The sequence below is a fragment of the Homo sapiens genome, chromosome 19, assembly GCF_000001405.40.
Source record: "Homo sapiens chromosome 19, GRCh38.p14 Primary Assembly".
Taxonomy (NCBI): Eukaryota; Metazoa; Chordata; class Mammalia; order Primates; family Hominidae; genus Homo; species Homo sapiens.
This window is the reverse complement of record NC_000019.10, coordinates 55,820,493-55,838,869: the sequence shown is the minus strand read 5'-3', so window position 1 is coordinate 55,838,869 and position 18,377 is coordinate 55,820,493. Positions and strand designations below refer to the sequence as shown.

The window sequence follows — 18,377 nt, the reverse complement described above, 5'->3', positions numbered from 1 at the left end:
CATTAGATAATATCATTCTATTAATTTCCTGTTTTTTATATAGTGTGGTTATCAAAAGAGCTTACTTTTATTTTTATTTTTAGAAGATAAACCCTGAAGCATTTAGGGTAAATTATTAGATGTAAATTTGTACAATGTGTACAAATCTTGAACAGATCAGGAAAAATACTTATATAAGAGTAGAGGGACACCATATAAGGTAAACTTTTAACATTTGGTGATCCTAAGGATATATTCTTGAAGCTGTTCTCTAAGTGTAAAATCACATCATTTTTTTCTTTTAATAGCGTACTAGCTTCCTTGGGCTGGCATGACAACGTACCACAAACTAGGTAACTTAAAACAGAAACCTACTGTCTCATGGTTCTGGAGCCTAGATGTCCAAAATCAAAGTGTTGGCAGGGTGCTGCTCTCTCTGAAACCCAGGGGAGCCCTTCCTTGCCTCTTACTGGCTTCTGTGGTTTGCTGGCAACCTGTGTCACTCTTTGGTTTGCAGCTATGTAATTTCACTCTGACTTTGTCACATGCCATTCTGCTTGTCTCTACCTTCATGTGGCCATTTTTTCTAAGATGGAGTTTCACTCTTGTTGCCCAGGCTGGAATGCAATGGCGCAATCTTGGCTCACTGCAACCTCTGCCTCCCAGGTTCAAGCAATCCTCCTGCCTCAGCCTCCTGAGTAGCTGGGATTACAGGCATGCGCCACCACAGTTGGCTAATTTTTTGTATTTCACCATGTTGGTCAGGCTGGTCTCGAACCCCCAACCTCGGGTGATCCACCCGCCTCGGCCTCCCAAAGTGCTGGGATTATAGGTGTGAGCCACTGCATCCAGCTTGAGACCGAGTCTCATTCTGTCACCCAGGCTGGAGTGCAATGGTGCAATCTCGGCACACTGCAATCTCCACCTCCTGGGTTCAGGCAATTCTCCTGCCTCAGCCTCCTGAGTAGCTGGGATTACAGGCACCTGCCACCATACCCAGCTGATTTTTGTATTTTTAGTAGAGACAGGGTTTTGCCATGTTTTCCAGGCTTGTCTTAAACTCCTGAGCTCAGATGATCCACCCACCTCAACCTCCCAAAGTGCTGGTGTTACAGGCATGAGCCACCACACCCAGCCGCATGTGGCCGTTTTCATAAGGACACCCGTCATTAAGTTAGGGGGGCCACTCACTCCAGTATGACCTCGCCTTAACTAATTACATCTGCAACAACCTTATTTTGTCACCCTATAAAGGGGTTAGGACTTTGTGTGTGTGTGTGTGTTTTTAGGGTTGGGACACAATTCAACCCTTAACAGTAAAAACCAACTTTTATTGATATAGAAAGATAAATATTCTTTCTATATACGTTTCATAGTCTAAACAAATGGCATAATTGGAGAAGGGGGATGAAAAGAGGTTGGCTAATGGATACCAAGTTACACCTGTAGGTAGGAATAGGTGCTGGTGTTCAGTAGCACTATAGGTTGAATATACTTAATATCTTATTATTTTCGAGGGTTTTTCTAACTTTTATGTTAGGTTCAGGGGTACATATACACTGGTTATACAGGTAAACTCGTGTCACAGGGGTTTGGTGTACAGTTTTTCATCTCCCAGGTATTAAGAATAGGACCCCATAGCTATCTTTTCCTGACCCTCTCCCTCCTCCCACCTAAGGAGAGGATTCTGAATGTTCCTAACACAAAGAAATGATACAGGTATGAGGAGATGGATATGCTCATTACCCTGATTTAATGATACGTATACATGTACCAACACATCTCTCTGCAGCTAATATACATAATTAGTATGAGTCAACTAGAAGTGTGATTTTCTTTTTAAATCACATTCTGGAATTACAGTATCAAAGACGTTTCTGCCCTAGGTCAGAGAGCAAGCTCACAAGAGCAGAGAGGGCTTGGGTCCCACCTTTCATGGGAAGTCCCCCCCCTTACCTCATCCCTGTCTATGTTCTCCAGCTTCTCCTACATGTTTGTGTCAACAGAGATGAAGAATCTAATAAGAACATTCCCACCCTCGAAGCTCCAAGGTCTCCCTTCGTGACGAGTCTCCCCCACCTCCACCCCCCATTCTTCTCACAGGTCTCAGGCTCCTGGGAGGCACCTTATAAACACAGGGCGTTCATCTACCCCACTAACTGGAGAGAAGGAAAACGCTGGGTAAATAGAATGGAGAGGCCTGGCTGTGATCGATCAGCCTCAAGAAAGGAGACAGGGTAAAAGGGAGAAAGAAAAGGAAGACCCAAAGTAACCCAGGAAATCAGCACATAGAAGAGACGAACAGCCCAGCACGAAGCGCTGACTCACCGCTCCACGCCTTCCTGGTCCTTAATGATTGGCGGCTGGAAGCGGGAAGAAAAGATCCGTGGTGCCATTTGATTGGCCAACGAATTGCTCCCTTGCCATTGGCTCAGAGGGCTTTTGATGAACAGATCCAGAAAATATGTGAAGCGAAACGCCCACCGCCCCTTGAGGGGCTGTTCTAGACCTTTGCTCCTGGTGTCGTATAGAGCGGGGGATATTTCAAGCTGGAGGTTCCTATTGAGAATTCCCAGGGCTCACGGCTGCAGGGATGCTCCTCCAGTCTCTCCAAAATGGTTCATTTGGAGAGTTGGGGTGACTCTGTTTATAATTTAAATGTCTAATTCCTTCCTACATGCTAAACTCCTTGAAGAATGTTCGTGTGGCACAACATCTTTCTGCCGTAACTAAACCTGTCGTGCAAGAAGAAATTATTAATTATTATTAGATACGGTCTCACTCGGTCACCCAGGCTGGAGTGCAGTGGCGTCATCTCGGCCCACTGTAACCTCCACCTCCCGGGTTCAAGAGATTCTCCTGCCTCAGCCTGCTGAGTAGCTGGGATTACAGATGCACACCACCATGCCCGGCTAATTTTTGTATTTTCAGTAGAGACGGGCTTTCGCCATGTTGGCCAGGCTGGTCTCGAACCCTTGACCTCAAGTGATCTGCCCGCCTCGGCCTCCCGAAGTGCTGGGATTACAGGCATGAGCCACTGTGCCTGGCCTCGGCTAATTTTTGTATTTTCAGTAGAGACAGGGTTTCACCATGTTGGCCAGGCTGGTCTCGAACCCTTGACCTCAAGTGTTCTGACCGCCTCGGCCTCCCAAAGTGCCGGAATTACAGGCATGAGCCACTGTGCCTGGCCTCGGCTAATTTTTGTATTTTCAGTAGAGACAGGGTTTCACCATGTTGGCCAGGCTGGTCTCGAACCCTTGACCTCAAGTGATCTGCCCGCCTCGGCCTCCCAAAGTGCCGGGATTACAGGCATGAGCCACTGTGCCTGGCCTCGGCTAATTTTTGTATTTTCAGTAGAGACAGGGTTTCACCATGTTGGCCAGGCTGGTCTCGAACCCTTGACCTCAAGTGATCTGCCCGCCTCGGCCTCCCAAAGTGCTGGGATTACAGGCATGAGCCACTGTGCCTGGCCTGCAAGAAGAACTTAATGGATATCGGCTACTGTCTTTCTGCGTAGGCAGAACAGGCGCTAAGTTTTTTAGACGCAAGGTCGAGATTTCATCATTGGGCATGGTTTTCCTGCTATTCCAGCTTCCCTACAATCGTTACAGTCATCTTCTGGGTTCACGCCAAACCTCAGTGTCCTAGGAGCTATCCTTTTACAATCACCATTTTAGTTCCTCCTTATAAGAATCCTGAGTTCAGTGTTACGATGGTGATGATCCTGGTTTTGAAATATACACATCAAGGAGTGCAGAGAAACATAATGAGAACTTTAAGGAATTACTGTAACCATAACACAAGTCTCTGTGGTCCAGAACCTAGATTGGGAAGCAGACATGATGGGGACCTTTGCAGACTCATGTACCCATAAGAGCATGCCCGTTGCATCCTCAGGGGTTCCCACCAAAATAAATTTCCAGTTGTGAAGTGAACTTCATTCCCTTCGATTTTCTTTTTATTTTTCCTGGTGATACATGTTCCCCTAAGAGATATGTTTTGTTTTCCTCATTTTCGAATTATAGTGTATCATTCTGTGACTTGATTCTTTTCACTTATTATGTTTTTGAGATTAATCAATGCGAGTTTGTTATAGCTGCGGTTCATTTCTAGGTCTTGCCTCACGGTATTTAAATGTATGACTAGGTCACCATTTAATGATCCATTCTGTCAGTGATAGGTGGTTGGGTGGTTTCTCAGTTTTTGCCAATATGAACAATGCTGTTTTGAACCTTCTTGCACACATCAGTGAGCCCACAGGACTTTTGGATTACCTGAGTGGAATGACTGAGTCCCTGAGGCACAGGTGACTTCAGTTGCCTCTTCAGAAGTGGTTTCACTAATTACATTAGCATCATGCACAGTTGAATATCCCCATAGCTGCACCTTACTGCCTACTCCTGATGTTGTTGACATTTTAAAGTAGTCACCAAATATTAGTTGGAAAAAGTATTTTGTTGTTTTCATTTGCTTTTATCTGATTATTAATATACTTGAACATTGTTCTCATGTTTGTGAGCCATTTGTTGCCTCTTTTGTGAAATACCTTTTCATTGTTTTCCTTGTATTTCTATTGGTTGTGTTCTGTTTTTATTTGCATGAAGAAGTGCTTTACCTTTTCTGAAAAAGTGGTTTGGTCAGTTATGTGTGATGCACGTATTTTCATATATCTCCTCCTAGTTTGTGGTTTGTAGCTTTTGTTATATAAGAACCATTCACTGAAGAGTTTTTATTTTAAATGAAATCAAATTGATCAAAATGTACTTTATGTTTTATAAATGTGAGGTCTTGTTGACAAAAATCATTCCCTACTCCAACTCATGAAGATATCTAATATTGCCTTTTAAAATATGATAGAGTTTTGAATTTCACACAGAAGTATTAAGTCACTTGTAATTATTTTTCTCTAAGGTAGGGAGAAGGGATCCATTTTTTTTTTTTCATTTAAATACAAATGGCACCAGCTCCATTTAATGAATAGTTCACCTACGCCACTGCCCAGAAATCTGTTATAAACCAGCTTTTCGTATTTGCCTACATTGGTTTCTGGGTTCTATGTTTTTTTCACTATTATTTGTTCATCCGTGTGCCAATAAGTCTTTTTTTTTTTTTTTTTTTTTTTTTTGAGACGGAGTCGCTCTGTCGCCCAGGCTGGAGTGCGGTGGCCTGATCTCGGCTCACTGCAAGCTCCTCCTCCCGGGCTCAAGTAATTCTCCTGCCTCAGCCTCCCGAGTAGCTGGGACTACAGGCGCCCGCCACCACACCTGGCTAAATTTTTTTATATTTTTGGTAGAGACGGGGGTTTCACCGTGTTAGCCAGGATGGTCTCGATCTTCTGACCTTCTGATCTGCCCGCTTCAGCCTCCCAAAGTGCTGGGATTACAGGCATGAGCCACCGCCCCCGGCCAACCAATAAGTCTTAATTACCATAGTTTTTAAATTAAATCTTTATAGGGTAGGTCCAACTCAATCATCATTCCCACCTCCCACCCACCTATGTGCTTCAGGCGTCTCTTGGCTTGTACTAGTCCCTTCTATTTTCCACATACATTTCAGAATTATATTTTGATATGAAAATTTCTATTGGGATTTTATTGTTTTACTGAATATAAAGGTCTATTTGGGAGCATATTAACATCTTCATAATAATAATTCCTGTACAAGAATGTAATGTTATCCTTCATTTTTAAGGATTTTGTATATGGCAATAACATTGTATATCATTCAATAAGATTTACAATCTCTTATAAGAATTATTTCTAGTTTATATTTTTCTTGGAACTGCATGTGGCATCCTTTAAAATTTTAAATTCCAATTAGTTTTTTTTTAGAGAAACACAATCAGATTTGTATGTTGATTTATATTCACCAAAGCTGCTTTGAATCCTAACAATTTATCAATAGATTTAAGGGGAGAGAGTTTGCATGGATATTCAAATTATCTCCAATATGATAATTTCGCCTCTTTCTTTCAGATCCGTTTTCTTGTCCCAGTGAACAGGTGCACTATGTTGAAATAAGAGTGGTGACGGAGGCCTTGTTTATCTTGTATCTTATTGTAAAAGGTATTCTTTCATCACTTTCCCGTCCATTATGAGATTTTTGTTTGCTCTTGCTTTTTTGGAACCCTTTACTGGGTGAAGGAAATTCTTTTATTTCCTAACTTACAAAGATACATCTAAAACCATGAATAGATATAGACTCTTTTATATTTCCCCTTTTGCACCTATGAAGATGCCCCTATTCTTCTGTAATCTGTTCAATATGAGGAGCTCTATCAGTCATACCCAGAGCATACTCCCTCCTGACTAAAGCAGATACCTGCGCATAGGACTGAGCTATCAGTCTTCACTAGAGGTCTCCAGGTGATTCCAATAGGCAGCCAAGACGGGCCCCCCGGGTGGAGGATCTAGGACGTGCCTCCGCAAATTCTATCACCTGTTAAACATGCCTTTGGTTGCATTTGTTCCACAAATATTTATGGCCTCCCTCAGATTTGAAAGGATCCTTGCCAGGTGGTTATGTAGACTAGACAGCGTATTCCCCTCATGGAGCTTACTGTATAGATGGTTATCCGAAATTGAGATTATTGGTGGAAAACTTCTTTCCCCCGGCACTGCCTAAGTCAATTGTTTTGGAGGTTCTTGGTCAGATGCCCCATGAGCTCCAACATCATAAACGGGGTGTGGACCGTCTCCTAATCAGCAGACCCTGTTTAGTCCTGGGTGAAGAAAGACAATTGGGGCATCTGGGCAGAAACACGCAGGTGCAGCAGTATTTCCCCTCCATCGCGAAGGTCATCAAGAACCCACCTTGGCCAATCAAGAGAGGAGTCAGCTGGCTAATCACCGGGCAGGCACCGCCTTTTTCTTCCCGCTGCCTAGCTTGTTTGCTTTCGACCAGCCAAGGAGACCTGGTGGCAGGGTTGGTGAGTTACCTTTCTGGCCGATTTGTTTGTTTGGATTTTAAGGTCTTTTTTTATTATGTTACATTGGTTCTTTAGCTTTCTCTTTGGTTAGGAGCTGGAAATAATATGATTGGGGAATAAAATGACTAAAGTTCCTAAGGGCAGGCCAAGCTCTGTTACCTTTTTCAAGTTCACATGAGTAAATTTGGGTCATGCTTTTTTTTTTTTTGATAAACTTATTTAAGTTGACAGATAAAATTGCATGTAGTGTGTGCAGCATGATGTTTTGAAGTGTATGTGCACTGTGGGTGGAGTGTTTAAACCTAACTAACTCGTCATCATAGCCTTATGGATGCTATTCTTCTATGTGATGTATAAAGTGTTAGAGATGAAAAGAATATTTTTATTTATTTATTTATTTTGAGACGGAGTCTCGCTCTGTCGCCAAGGCTGGCGTGCAGTGGTGTGATCTCAGCGCACTGCAACCTCTGTCTCCTGGGTTCAAGTGACTCTCCCACCTCAGACTCCCAAGTAGCAGGAATGACAGGCACACGCCAGCATACGTAGCTAATTTTTGTATTTTTAGTAGAGATGGGGTTTCGCCATGTTGTCTAGGCTGGTCTCGAACTCCTGACCTCAAGTAATGTGCCCACCTTGACCTCCCAAAGTGCTGGGATTACAGGCGTGAGCTCCTGCACCCGGTCCTGAGCTCTATTTTAATGTTAATGCCCGTCAGTTGTGCCTAGGCTCCGAAAGGAAGGAGATAGGAGGAGGTTTGACCTCCCTTCCTGCCATAGTCAATGATTCTGTTTTTCAAGTATCTTGGCCAGGAGGGGGTCCGCTCAGTTGGTTGTGGGCGGGGGGGTGGGGGGGATGGGGGGGGTGGGGCGGTGGGTCTTAACATGTTATTTTTAGTTTACAAATTGATTCTTAACTTTGAGTGCTGAATTTACAGGGGGGATTGGAACAATATACTGGTTCCTGGGCCCAACCTCCAAAGTCTCTAATCAGTGTCTGTATTTCGGGACACTGGGGTTTTTGATAACTCCCCAGGTGATTCCCCTGTGTCTCAGTGCTTGAGAAAGTCTGGTCACAGGTGCTTGAAGTGCCCAACTGTGCGGTGATCAGCTAATCTGATGCAACGCCGACTTGGGACGTGCAATGCTGTAGTGTCAGCTTTTTTGCAGGTGTTGGAGATCACCTCATAGTTCAGTTGGCACCTTATAGTTCAGTCAACAGCAAATTCCAGCAACCAACTTAAAAAGCATTGCAGTGTGGTCAGATGAGTGTACAAAAGGTTGGTGTAAAAAAAGTATTTTGCCCTTTGGGAAAAGTAATAAGAGCTTTTAACACACACTCAACGTTGCATTTTTTTTTTTTTTTTTAGGAAGCTAAGAAGCCATCACTAGGCAAAAAGCTTATGGAATTTTCCTTGAATGATCCTATGTCACAGTATGAAATCAGAAACACCTAAAGACTGAGAGGGTCATGATTAAATATTTCTGGTGCATTATTACCAAACCACTTAAAAATCATACCTTAAAGAACACAAGCAAAGCTCATACAACAGTGTTTAGGGAAATATGGACTGTTTGAGTCTAAAGGTAACTACTTTATTAGACAAACATATCACTAGAAAGAAATACAGTTGACTCCTGAACTCGGAAGTCTCTCAGTTACAAGGATGGGGCTCAAAGGCAATGGTGAAATAGAAGTCAAAGGAGGGAAGAGTTTGGGAATTTGGGGAAGGGTTGGACTTGGTGAGGCTTAACTTACTAATCCCTAATCTACTTGTGTTCACTTAGGGGGGAAAAACACCTAGATACAAGATTTAAAAGAAGAAAACACTTGTGTTAAACAGATTTACAGTGGACCCTTGAACAATACAGGTTTGAGCTGCATGTGTCCACTTATACATGAAGTTTCAAAAATAAATATATTGGAGAATTTTGGGGGAGATGTATGACAACTTGTAGATGAACCAGGCAGCCTAGAAATACTTAAAAAATTAAAGTCAGATATGTCATGAATGCAATCAATATAGATGTGAGTCTACTTATGTGTTAATTGACTGTTGATAAGGCTTCTGGTCAATAGTAGGCTATGAGTGTTGGAAGTCAAAAGTTATACGTGGGTTTTTGACTGCCTAGGGGCTGGCAGCATTGACTTTTGAGTTCAGGAGTCAACTGTATTTCCCTCTAATATGTTTAAGAAAGTGGAGTTACCTTTAGACTCAAACAGTTCATACTTCTGTAAACGCTGTTTTATGAGCTTTTTCTTGTGTTCTTTAAAGTACGATTTTTTTTTTTTTTTTTTTTTTTTTTTGAGACGGAGTCTCGCCCAGGCTGGAGTGCAGTGGCGCCATCTCGGCTCACTGCAACCTCCACTTCTGAGGTTCAAGCGATTCTCCTGCCTCAGCCTTCTGAGTAGCTGGGACTACAGGCGCGTGCCACCACGCCCGGCTAATTTTTTGTACTTTTAGTAGAGACAAGGCTTCACTGTGTTAGCCAGGATAGGGGTCTCGATCTCCTGACCTCGTGATCTGCCCTCCTCGGCCTCCCAAAGTGCTGGGATTACAGGCATGAGCCACCCTGCCCAGCCTAAAGTATGATTTTTTAAGTGGGTTGATAATACATAATAATGCACCGGAAATATCTAATCATGTCCTTGTCAGACTTCAGGTGTTTCTGATTTTATACTATTGTATAGGATGATTTAAAGAGTATTCCATAAGCTTTATGCCTAGTGACTCTGCTTCATAGGTTCCTCAAAAAAAAAAAAAATGCAATATTGTGTCAGCGTGTGTATGTATATTAAAAGCTCTTATTACTTACTTTTCTCAAAAGGCAAAACACTGTTTTACACCAACATTTCATACCCTCATCTGACCACAGTGCAATGCTTCTTAAATTGATTGCTGGAAGTTGCTGTTGACTGAACTACAAGGTGCTAATTTTGTATATACGTGTGTTAGCCATTTGTAACTTCTTGTCTCTTCAAGTTCTATATCTAATTGATATTTCCTCAATGATTGTGAATAGAATTCTTAATAACTTTAAAATCTTCTCTATGTTATCTTCATCTCTCCTGTCTACATATTTTTCTTCAAAGGTCAGATATACATCTGTTTTTATTAAGCCCCAGAGTCACGACACGTAAAGCTTATGGAACATTCCTTATTCTATAAGTATAAAATCAGAAACAAGGGCATGATTAAATATTTCTTAATTAAATATTAAGTCCCAATCATTCCTTAAAAAATACAACCCAATCTTATTTACTGAATTTTGTTTGTATAGTGATGGAAAGCTTGCATTTTCCTTCCATCTAGGTGATGAGCCAAATTTCTCAGCACCATTTAATGCATATTTCGTATCAGTGTGGATTTGTGATACCATAATTATGATATACTTAATTGGGGCTGCAGTGGCCTTACACATGTGCACACATAGCAGCTCTCCTGGGATTTAAAATTTGTTGCAATGAGTATTCTCCATGAGAAGTACAGATCTACTTTAATTGACATCATTACTAACTTTGCAGTCTGATAAAATTCTTTTTTTTATTATTATACTTTAAGTTTTAGGGTACATGTGCACATTGTGCAGGTTAGTTACATATGTATACATGTGCCATGCTGGTGCGCTGCACCCACTAACTTGTCATCTAGCATTAGGTATATCTCCCAATGCTCTCCCTCCCCCTTCCCCCCACCCCACCACAGTCCCCAGAGTGTGATATTCCCTTTCCTGTGTCCATGTGATCTCATTGTTCAATTCCCACCTATGAGTGAGAACATGCAGTGTTTGGTTTTTTGTTCTTGTGATAGTTTACTGAGAATGATGATTTCCAATTTCATCCATGTCCCTACAAAGGACATGAACTCATCATTTTTTATGGCTGCATAGTATTCCATGGTGTATATGTGCCACATTTTCTTAATCCAGTCTATCATTGTTGGACATTTGGGTTGGTTCCAAGTCTTTGCTATTGTGAATAATGCCGCAGTAAACATACTTGTGCATGTGTCTTTATAGCAGCATGATTTATAGTCATTTGGGTATATACCCAGTAATGGGATGGCTGGGTCAAATGGTATTTCTAGTTCTAGATCCCTGAGGAATCGCCACACTGACTTCCACAATGGATGAACTACTTTACAGTCCCACCAACAGTGTAAAAGTGTTCCTATTTCTCCACATCCTCTCCAGCACCTGTTGTTTCCTGACTTTTTAATGATCACCATTCTAACTGGTGTGAGATGGTATCTCATTGTGGTTTTGATTTGCATTTCTCTGATGGCCAGTGATGATGAGCATTTTTTCATGTTTTTTTTGGCTGCATAAATGTCTTCTTTTGAGAAGTGTCTGTTTATATCCTTTGCCCACTTTTTGATGGGGTTGTTTGTTTTTTTCTTGTAAATTTGTTTGAGTTCATTGTAGATTCTGGATATTAGCCCTTTGTCAGATGAGTAGGTTGCGAAAATTTTCTCCCATTTTGTAGGTTGCCTGTTGACTCTGATGGTAGTTTCTTTTGCTGTGCAGAAGCTCTTTAGTTTAATTAGATCCCATTTGTCAATTTTGGCTTTTGTTGCCATTGCTTTTGGTGTTTTAGACATGAAGTCCTTGGCCATGCCTATGTCCTGAATGGTCATGCCTAGGTTTTCTTCTAGGGTTTTTATGGTTTTAGGTCTAACGTTTAAATCTTTAATCCATCTTGAATTGATTTTTGTATAAGGTGTAAGGAAGGGATCCAGTTTCAGCTTCCTACATATGGCTAGCCAGTTTTCCCAGCACCATTTATTAAATAGGGAATCCTTTCCCCATTGCTTGTTTTTCTCAGGTTTGTCAAATACCAGATAGTTGTAGGTATGCGGCATTATTTCTGAGGGCTCTGTTCTGTTCCATTGATCTATATCTCTGTTTTGGTACCAGTACCATGCTGTTTTGGTTACTGTAGCCTTGTAGTATAGTTTGAAATCAGGTAGTGTGATGCCTCCAGCTTTGTTCTTTTGGCTTAGGATTGACTTGGCAATGCGGGCTCTTTTTTGGTTCCATATGAACTTTAAAGTAGTTTTTTCCAATTCTGTGAAGAAAGTCATTGGTAGCTTGATGGGGATGGCATTGAATCTGTAAATTACCTTGGGCAGTATGGCCATTTTCACGATATTGATTCTTCCTACCCATGAGCATGAAATGTTCTTCCATTTGTTTGTATCCTCTTTTATTTCCTTGAGCAGTGGTTTGTAGTTCTCCTTGAAGAGGTCCTTCACATCCCTTGTAAGTTGGATTCCTAGGTATTTTATTCTCTTTGAAGCAATTGTGAATGGGAGTTCACTCATGATTTGGCTCTCTGTTTGTCTGTTGTTGGTGTATAAGAATGCTTGTGATTTTTGTACATTGATTTTGTATCCTGAGACTTTGCTGAAGTTGCTTATCAGCTTAAGGAGCTTTTGGGCTGAGACAATGGGGTTTTCTAGATATACAATCATGTCGTCTGCAAACAGGGACAATTTGACTTCCTCTTTTCCTAATTGGATACCCTTTATTTCCTTCTCTTGCCTAATTGCCCTGGCCAGAACTTCCAACACTATGTTGAATAGGAGTGGTGAGAGAGGGCATCCCTGTCTTTTGCCAGTTTTCAAAGGGAATGCTTCCAGTTTTTGCCCATTCAGTATGATATTGGCTGTGGGTTTGTCATAGATAGCTCTTATTATTTTGAAATACGTCCCATCAATACCTAATTTATTGAGAGTTTTTAGCATGAAGGGTTGTTGAATTTTGTCAAAGGCTTTTTCTGCATCTATTGAGATAATCATGTGGTTTTTGTCTTTGGCTCTGTTTATATGCTGGATTACATTTATTGATTTGCGTATATTGAACCAGCCTTGCATCCCAGGGATGAAGCCCACTTGATCATGGTGGATAAGCTTTTTGATGTGCTGCTGGATTCGGTTTGCCAGTATTTTATTGAGGATTTTTGCATCAATGTTGATCAAGGATATTGGTCTAAAATTCTCTTTTTTGGTTGTGTCTCTGCCCGGCTTTGGTATCAGAATGATGCTGGCCTCATAAAATGAGTTAGGGAGGATTCCCTCTTTTTCTATTGATTGGAATAGTTTCAGAAGGAATGGTACCAGTTCTTCCTTGTACCTCTGGTAGAATTCGGCTGTGAATCCATCTGGTCCTGGACTCTTTTTGGTTGGTAAACTATTGATTATTGCCACAATTTCAGCTCCTGTTATTGGTCTATTCAGAGATTCAACTTCTTCCTGGTTTAGTCTTGGGAGAGTGTATGTGTCGAGGAATTTATCCATTTCTTCTAGATTTTCTAGTTTATTTGCGTAGAGGTGTTTGTAGTATTCTCTGATGGTAGTTTGTATTTCTGTGGGATCGGTGGTGATATCCCCTTTATCATTTTTTATTGTGTCTATTTGATTCTTCTCTCTTTTTTTCTTTATTAGTCTTGCTAGCAGTCTATCAATTTTGTTGATCCTTTCAAAAAACCAGCTCCTGGATTCATTGATTTTTTGAAGGGTTTTTTGTGTCTCTATTTCCTTCAGTTCTGCTCTGATTTTAGTTATTTCTTGCCTTCTGCTAGCTTTTGAATGTGTTTGCTCTTGCTTTTCTAGTTCTTTTAATTGTGATGTTAGGGTGTCAATTTTGGATCTTTCCTGCTTTCTCTTGTGGGCATTTAGTGCTATAAATTTCCCTCTACACACTGCTTTGAATGCGTCCCAGAGATTCTGGTATGTTGTGTCTTTGTTCTCGTTGGTTTCAAAGAACATCTTTATTTCTGCCTTCATTTCGTTATGTACCCAGTAGTCATTCAGGAGCAGGTTGTTCAGTTTCCATGTAGTTGAGTGGCTTTGAGTGAGATTCTTAATCCTGAGTTCTAGTTTGATTGCACTGTGGTCTGAGAGATAGTTTGTTATAATTTCTGTTCTTTTACATTTGCTGAGGAGAGCTTTACTTCCAACTATGTGGTCAATTTTGGAATAGGTGTGGTGTGGTGCTGAAAAAAATGTATATTCTGTTGATTTGGGGTGGAGAGTTCTGTAGATGTCTATTAGGTCCGCTTGGTGCAGAGCTGAGTTCAATTCCTGGGTATCCTTGTTGACTTTCTGTCTCGTTGATCTGTCTAATGTTGACAGTGGGGTGTTAACGTCTCCCATTATTAATGCGTGGGAGTGTAAGTCTCTTTGTAGGTCACTCAGGACTTGCTTTATGAATCTGGGTGCTCCTGTATTGGGTGCATATATATTTAGGATAGTTAGCTCTTCTTGTTGAATTGATCCCTTTACCATTATGTAATGGCCTTCTTTGTCTCTTGATCTTTGTTGGTTTAAAGTCTGTTTTATCAGAGACTAGGATTGCAACCCCTTCCTTTTTTTGTTTTCCATTTGCTTGGTAGATCTTCCTCCATCCTTTTATTTTGAGCCTATGTGTGTCTCTGCACATGAGATGGGTTTCCTGAATACAGCACACTGATGGGTCTTGACTCTTTATCCAATTTGCCAGTCTGTGTCTTTTAATTGGAGAATTTAGTCCATTTACATTTAAAGTTAATATTGTTATGTGTGAATTTGATCCTGTCATTATGATGTTAGCTGGTGATTTTGCTCATTAGTTGATGCAGTTTCTTCCTGGTCTCGATGGTCTTTACATTTTGGCATGATTTTGCAGCGGCTGGTACCAGTTGTTCCTTTCCATGTTTAGCGCTTCCTTCAGGAGCTCTTTTAGGGCAGGCCTGGTGGTGACAAAATCTCTCAGCATTTGCTTGTCTGTAAAGTGTTTTATTTCTCCTTCACTTATGAAGCTTAGTTTGGGTGGATATGAAATTCTGGGTTGAAAATTCTTTTCTTTAAGAATGTTGAATATTGGCCCCCACTCTCTTCTGGCTTGTAGGGTTTCTGCCGAGAGATCTGCTGTTAGTCTGATGGGCTTCCCTTTGAGGGTAACCCGACCTTTCTCTCTGGCTGCCCTTAACATTTTTTCCTTCATTTCAACTTTGGTGAATCTGACAATTATGTGTCTTGGAGTTGCTCTTCTCGAGGAGTATCTTTGTGGTGTTCTCTGTATTTCCTGAATCTGAACGTTGGCCTGCCTTGCTAGATTGGGGAAGTTCTCCTGGATAATATCCTGCAGAGCGTTTTCCAACTTGGTTCCATTCTCCCCATCACTTTCAGGTACACCAATCAGACGTAGATTTGGTCTTTTCACATAGTCCCATATTTCTTGGAGGCTTTGCTCATTTCTTTTTATTTGTTTTTCTCTAAACTTCCCTTCTCGCTTCATTTCATTCATTTCGTCTTCCATTGCTGATACCCTTTCTTCCAGTTGATCGTATCGGCTCCTGAGGCTTCTGCATTCTTCACGTAGTTCTCGAGCCTTGGTTTTCAGCTCCATCAGCTCCTTTAAGCACTTCTCTGTATTGGTTATTCTAGTTATACATTCTTCTAAATTTTTTTCAAAGTTTTCAACTTCTTTGCCTTTGGTTTGAATGTCCTCCCGTAGCTCAGAGTAATTTGATCGTCTGAAGCCTTCTTCTCTCAGCTCCTCAAAGTCATTCTCCATCCAGCTTTGTTCCGTTTCTGGGGAGGAACTGCGTTCCTTTGGAGGAGGAGAGACACTCTGCGTTTTAGAGTTTCCAGTTTTTCTGTTCTGTTTTTTCCCCATCTTTGTGGTTTTATCTACTTTTGGTCTTTGATGATGGTGATGTACAGATGGGTTTTCGGTGTGGATGTCCTTTCTGTTTGTTAGTTTTCCTTCTAACAGACAGGACCCTCAGCTGCAGGTCTGTTGGAATACCCTGCCGTGTGAGGTGTCAGTGTGCTCCTGCTGGGGGGTGCCTCCCAGTTAGGCTGCTTGGGGGTCAGGGGTCAGGGACCCACTTGAGGAGGCAGTCTGCTGGTTCTCAGATCTCCAGCTGCGTGCTGGGAGAACCACTGCTCTCTTCAAAGCTGTCAGACAGGGACATTTAAGTCTGCAGAGGTTACTGCTGTCTTTTTGTTTGTCTGTGCCCTGCCCCCAGAGGTGGAGCCTATAGAGGCAGGCAGGCCTCCTTGAGCTGTGGTGGGCTCCCCCCAGTTCCAGCTTCCTGGCTGCTTTGTTTACCTAATCAAGCCTGGGCAATGGCGGGCGCCCCTCCCCCAGCCTAGCTGCCGCCTTGCAGTTTGATCTCAGACTGCTGTGCTAGCAATCAGCGAGACTCCGTGGGCATAGGACCCTCCGAGCCAGGTGTGGGATATAGTCTCATGGTGCGCCGTTTTTTAAGCCAGTCAGAAAAGCGCAGTATTCGGGTGGGAGTGACCCGATTTTCCAGGTGCGTCCGTCACCCCTTTCTTTGACTCGGAAAGGGAACTCCCTGACCCCTCGCGCTTCCCAGGTGAGGCAATGCCTCGCCCTGCTTCGGCTCGCGCACGGTGCGCGCATCCACTGACCTGCGCCCACTGTCTGGCACTCCCTAGTGAGATGAACCCGGTACCTCAGATGGAAATGCGGAAATCACCCGTCTTCTGCGTTGCTCACGCTGGGAGCTGTAGACCGGAGCTGTTCCTATTCGGCCATCTTGGCTCCTCCCTGCAGTCTGATAAAATTCTAAGCCTCAGTTCTAAAATTTTTCTTTGACATCTTCAGTCATGACGTAAAGATATCATTTTAGGGTGAGAGAGAAGAGAAATTCCAATGAGACTAAGGCAATCTTTTTTTATTTCTTTTTGAGACAGAGTCTTGCTCTGTTTCCCAGGCTGGGGTGCAGTGGCACTATCTCAGCTCACAGCAATCTCTGCCTCCCAGGTTCAAGTGATTCTCCTGTCTCAGCCTTCCAAATAGCTGGGATTACAGGTAGCCACCACCACCATGCTTGCCTAATTTTTTTGTATTTTTAGTAGAGATGGGGTTTCATCATGATGGCCCGGCTAGTCTCGGACTCCTGACCTCAGGTGATCCACCCACCTCGGCCTCCCAAAGTGCTGGGATTACAGGCGTGAGCCACTGTGCCCAGCTGACTAAGGCAATCTTGTTAACCATATGAGCACGAAAAGAACTGACCTCTTGGCAAATATGCTAAGTGTCAATTATGGATACAGAGGCTGAGAACACTGGGGAGAAAGAGAAACAGTGGTCCTGCCCTGATGGAGACTTCCATTTAAGGGAGTAATTAGACCTGAAAGCAGTTCTCCCATCACTAACAATGTTAATGGGTTCTCCCATCACTAACAATGTTAATGGGTTCTCCCATCACTAACAATGTTAATGGGTTCTCCCATCACTAACAATGTTAATGGGTTCTCCCATCACTAACAATGTTAATGGGTTCTCCCATCACTAACAATGTTAATGGGTTCTCCCATCACTAACAATGTTAATGGGTTTGCCTGCTGCAAGGTAAGAGATGGTGAGTTTAGGAGGACGTCATTCAATGTTGTGAGGCTATTTCCTGTTACCCTGTGTGTCAGGTGTTGAATGCCATCCCCTAGTTGGGTTAGGTGGGATGACTTGGGACTGGGCACAGTCCTGTTCACAGCTGTGACTTATTACAGTGAGGGCTACAAAGCAGAATCGGCAAAGCAAAGAGGCACATGGGACAAAATCCAGAGGAAACCAGGCTCCCGAGTGTCCTCTCCCGGCAGAGTCACCCAGGACATGTGGAATTCCCCCAGCAGCAAGTGATAAAAAACACACACGAGGTATTGGCTGCTGTGGAAGATCATTACAAACTCAGTGCTTGGGGTGTGTGTGTGTGTGTGTGTGTGTGTGTGTGTGTGTGTGTGTGTGAGAGAGAGAGAGAGAGCTGGTCACATAGGCATCCTCTCCCTAGCATATTCCAAAATATGCATTAAACAGTGCCGAGAAAATTGGCTCACTGCTTAGATGGAAGGAAATTGCAAGCTTCCAGGCTCCCAGAAGGACAGCAAAGCTTCAGCATAAGCCATGTTGTCTGTACAAGCCATAAAGGCATGTGAGCCACTCTTATCAGCTCTGGGAATGTGGGTGGGGGGTGCCTTCCACATCCAGGTTCCAGATGCTAGCCAACGGCCAATGTAGCAGGCAGATCCTAAAGATGGCAGTTTCGGACGTGTCATGTTAACTCTCTTCTGTACACCCTGAAATCCTGGCTTCAGCCAACACGACACCTGTATGTACATATGTCAGGGTACCAGTCCCATTCACTGCTTTTTATCTCAATAGTATATTATAAATATCTTTGTAGGTCCAGCAAATATAGACCTAGAAACCAATCTTTATGGCTTCACATTCCATTTTATTCAGGTAATGACTTTTTTTCTGAGTTAAGAGAGATTAAGACATTTTTGAAAAACTAAGTTTTCGAAAGATTTCTTAGCATGTTTGTGCATTTAGGTCCAGAATACAAAAATATACATGAGACGAAAAGCTGTGGGATGATTACTCTCCGAAGTCCAGCTTAGGTTTAGGAACTCAAAGGGTGCGATTGCTTCCCCTTTCCTCCTCAGACCCGATACTGAGCA

General features: G+C 42.4%; 2 protein-coding genes across 9 annotated transcripts in view, besides 1 other annotated feature; one reads left to right on the top strand and one right to left on the bottom strand.

Moving 5' to 3' along the window:
- NLRP4 (NLR family pyrin domain containing 4) overlaps positions 1-2,330 on the bottom strand; it is a 45,316-nt gene extending 42,986 nt beyond the window's left edge. Inside the window, exon 1 of the mRNA NM_134444.5 lies at positions 1,936-2,330. The gene's annotated coding sequence lies outside the window, so the exon portion shown is untranslated. The remainder of the gene's footprint in view (positions 1-1,935) is intronic.
- Positions 2,295-18,377, top strand: part of NLRP11 (NLR family pyrin domain containing 11) — a 51,177-nt gene continuing 35,094 nt past the window's right edge. For 7 of the 8 annotated variants that reach the window (NR_169620.2, NR_169622.2, NR_169621.2 and 4 more), the window contains exons 1-3: positions 2,295-2,534; positions 5,955-6,044; positions 6,776-6,907. The gene's annotated coding sequence lies outside the window, so the exon portion shown is untranslated. Of the gene's footprint in view, positions 2,535-5,954; positions 6,045-6,775; positions 6,908-18,377 lie in introns of those variants that run through there. The other variant, NM_001394894.2, reaches the window with a different exon arrangement.
- Positions 15,638-16,192: an enhancer, noted in NCBI's record as "H3K27ac-H3K4me1 hESC enhancer chr19:56334044-56334598 (GRCh37/hg19 assembly coordinates)". NCBI's record gives its function as "activates a minimal SCP1, AML or CMV promoter by ChIP-STARR-seq in naive H9 embryonic stem cells {active_cell/tissue: H9 hESC(naive)}" and the evidence as "EXISTENCE:reporter gene assay evidence [ECO:0000049][PMID:30033119]".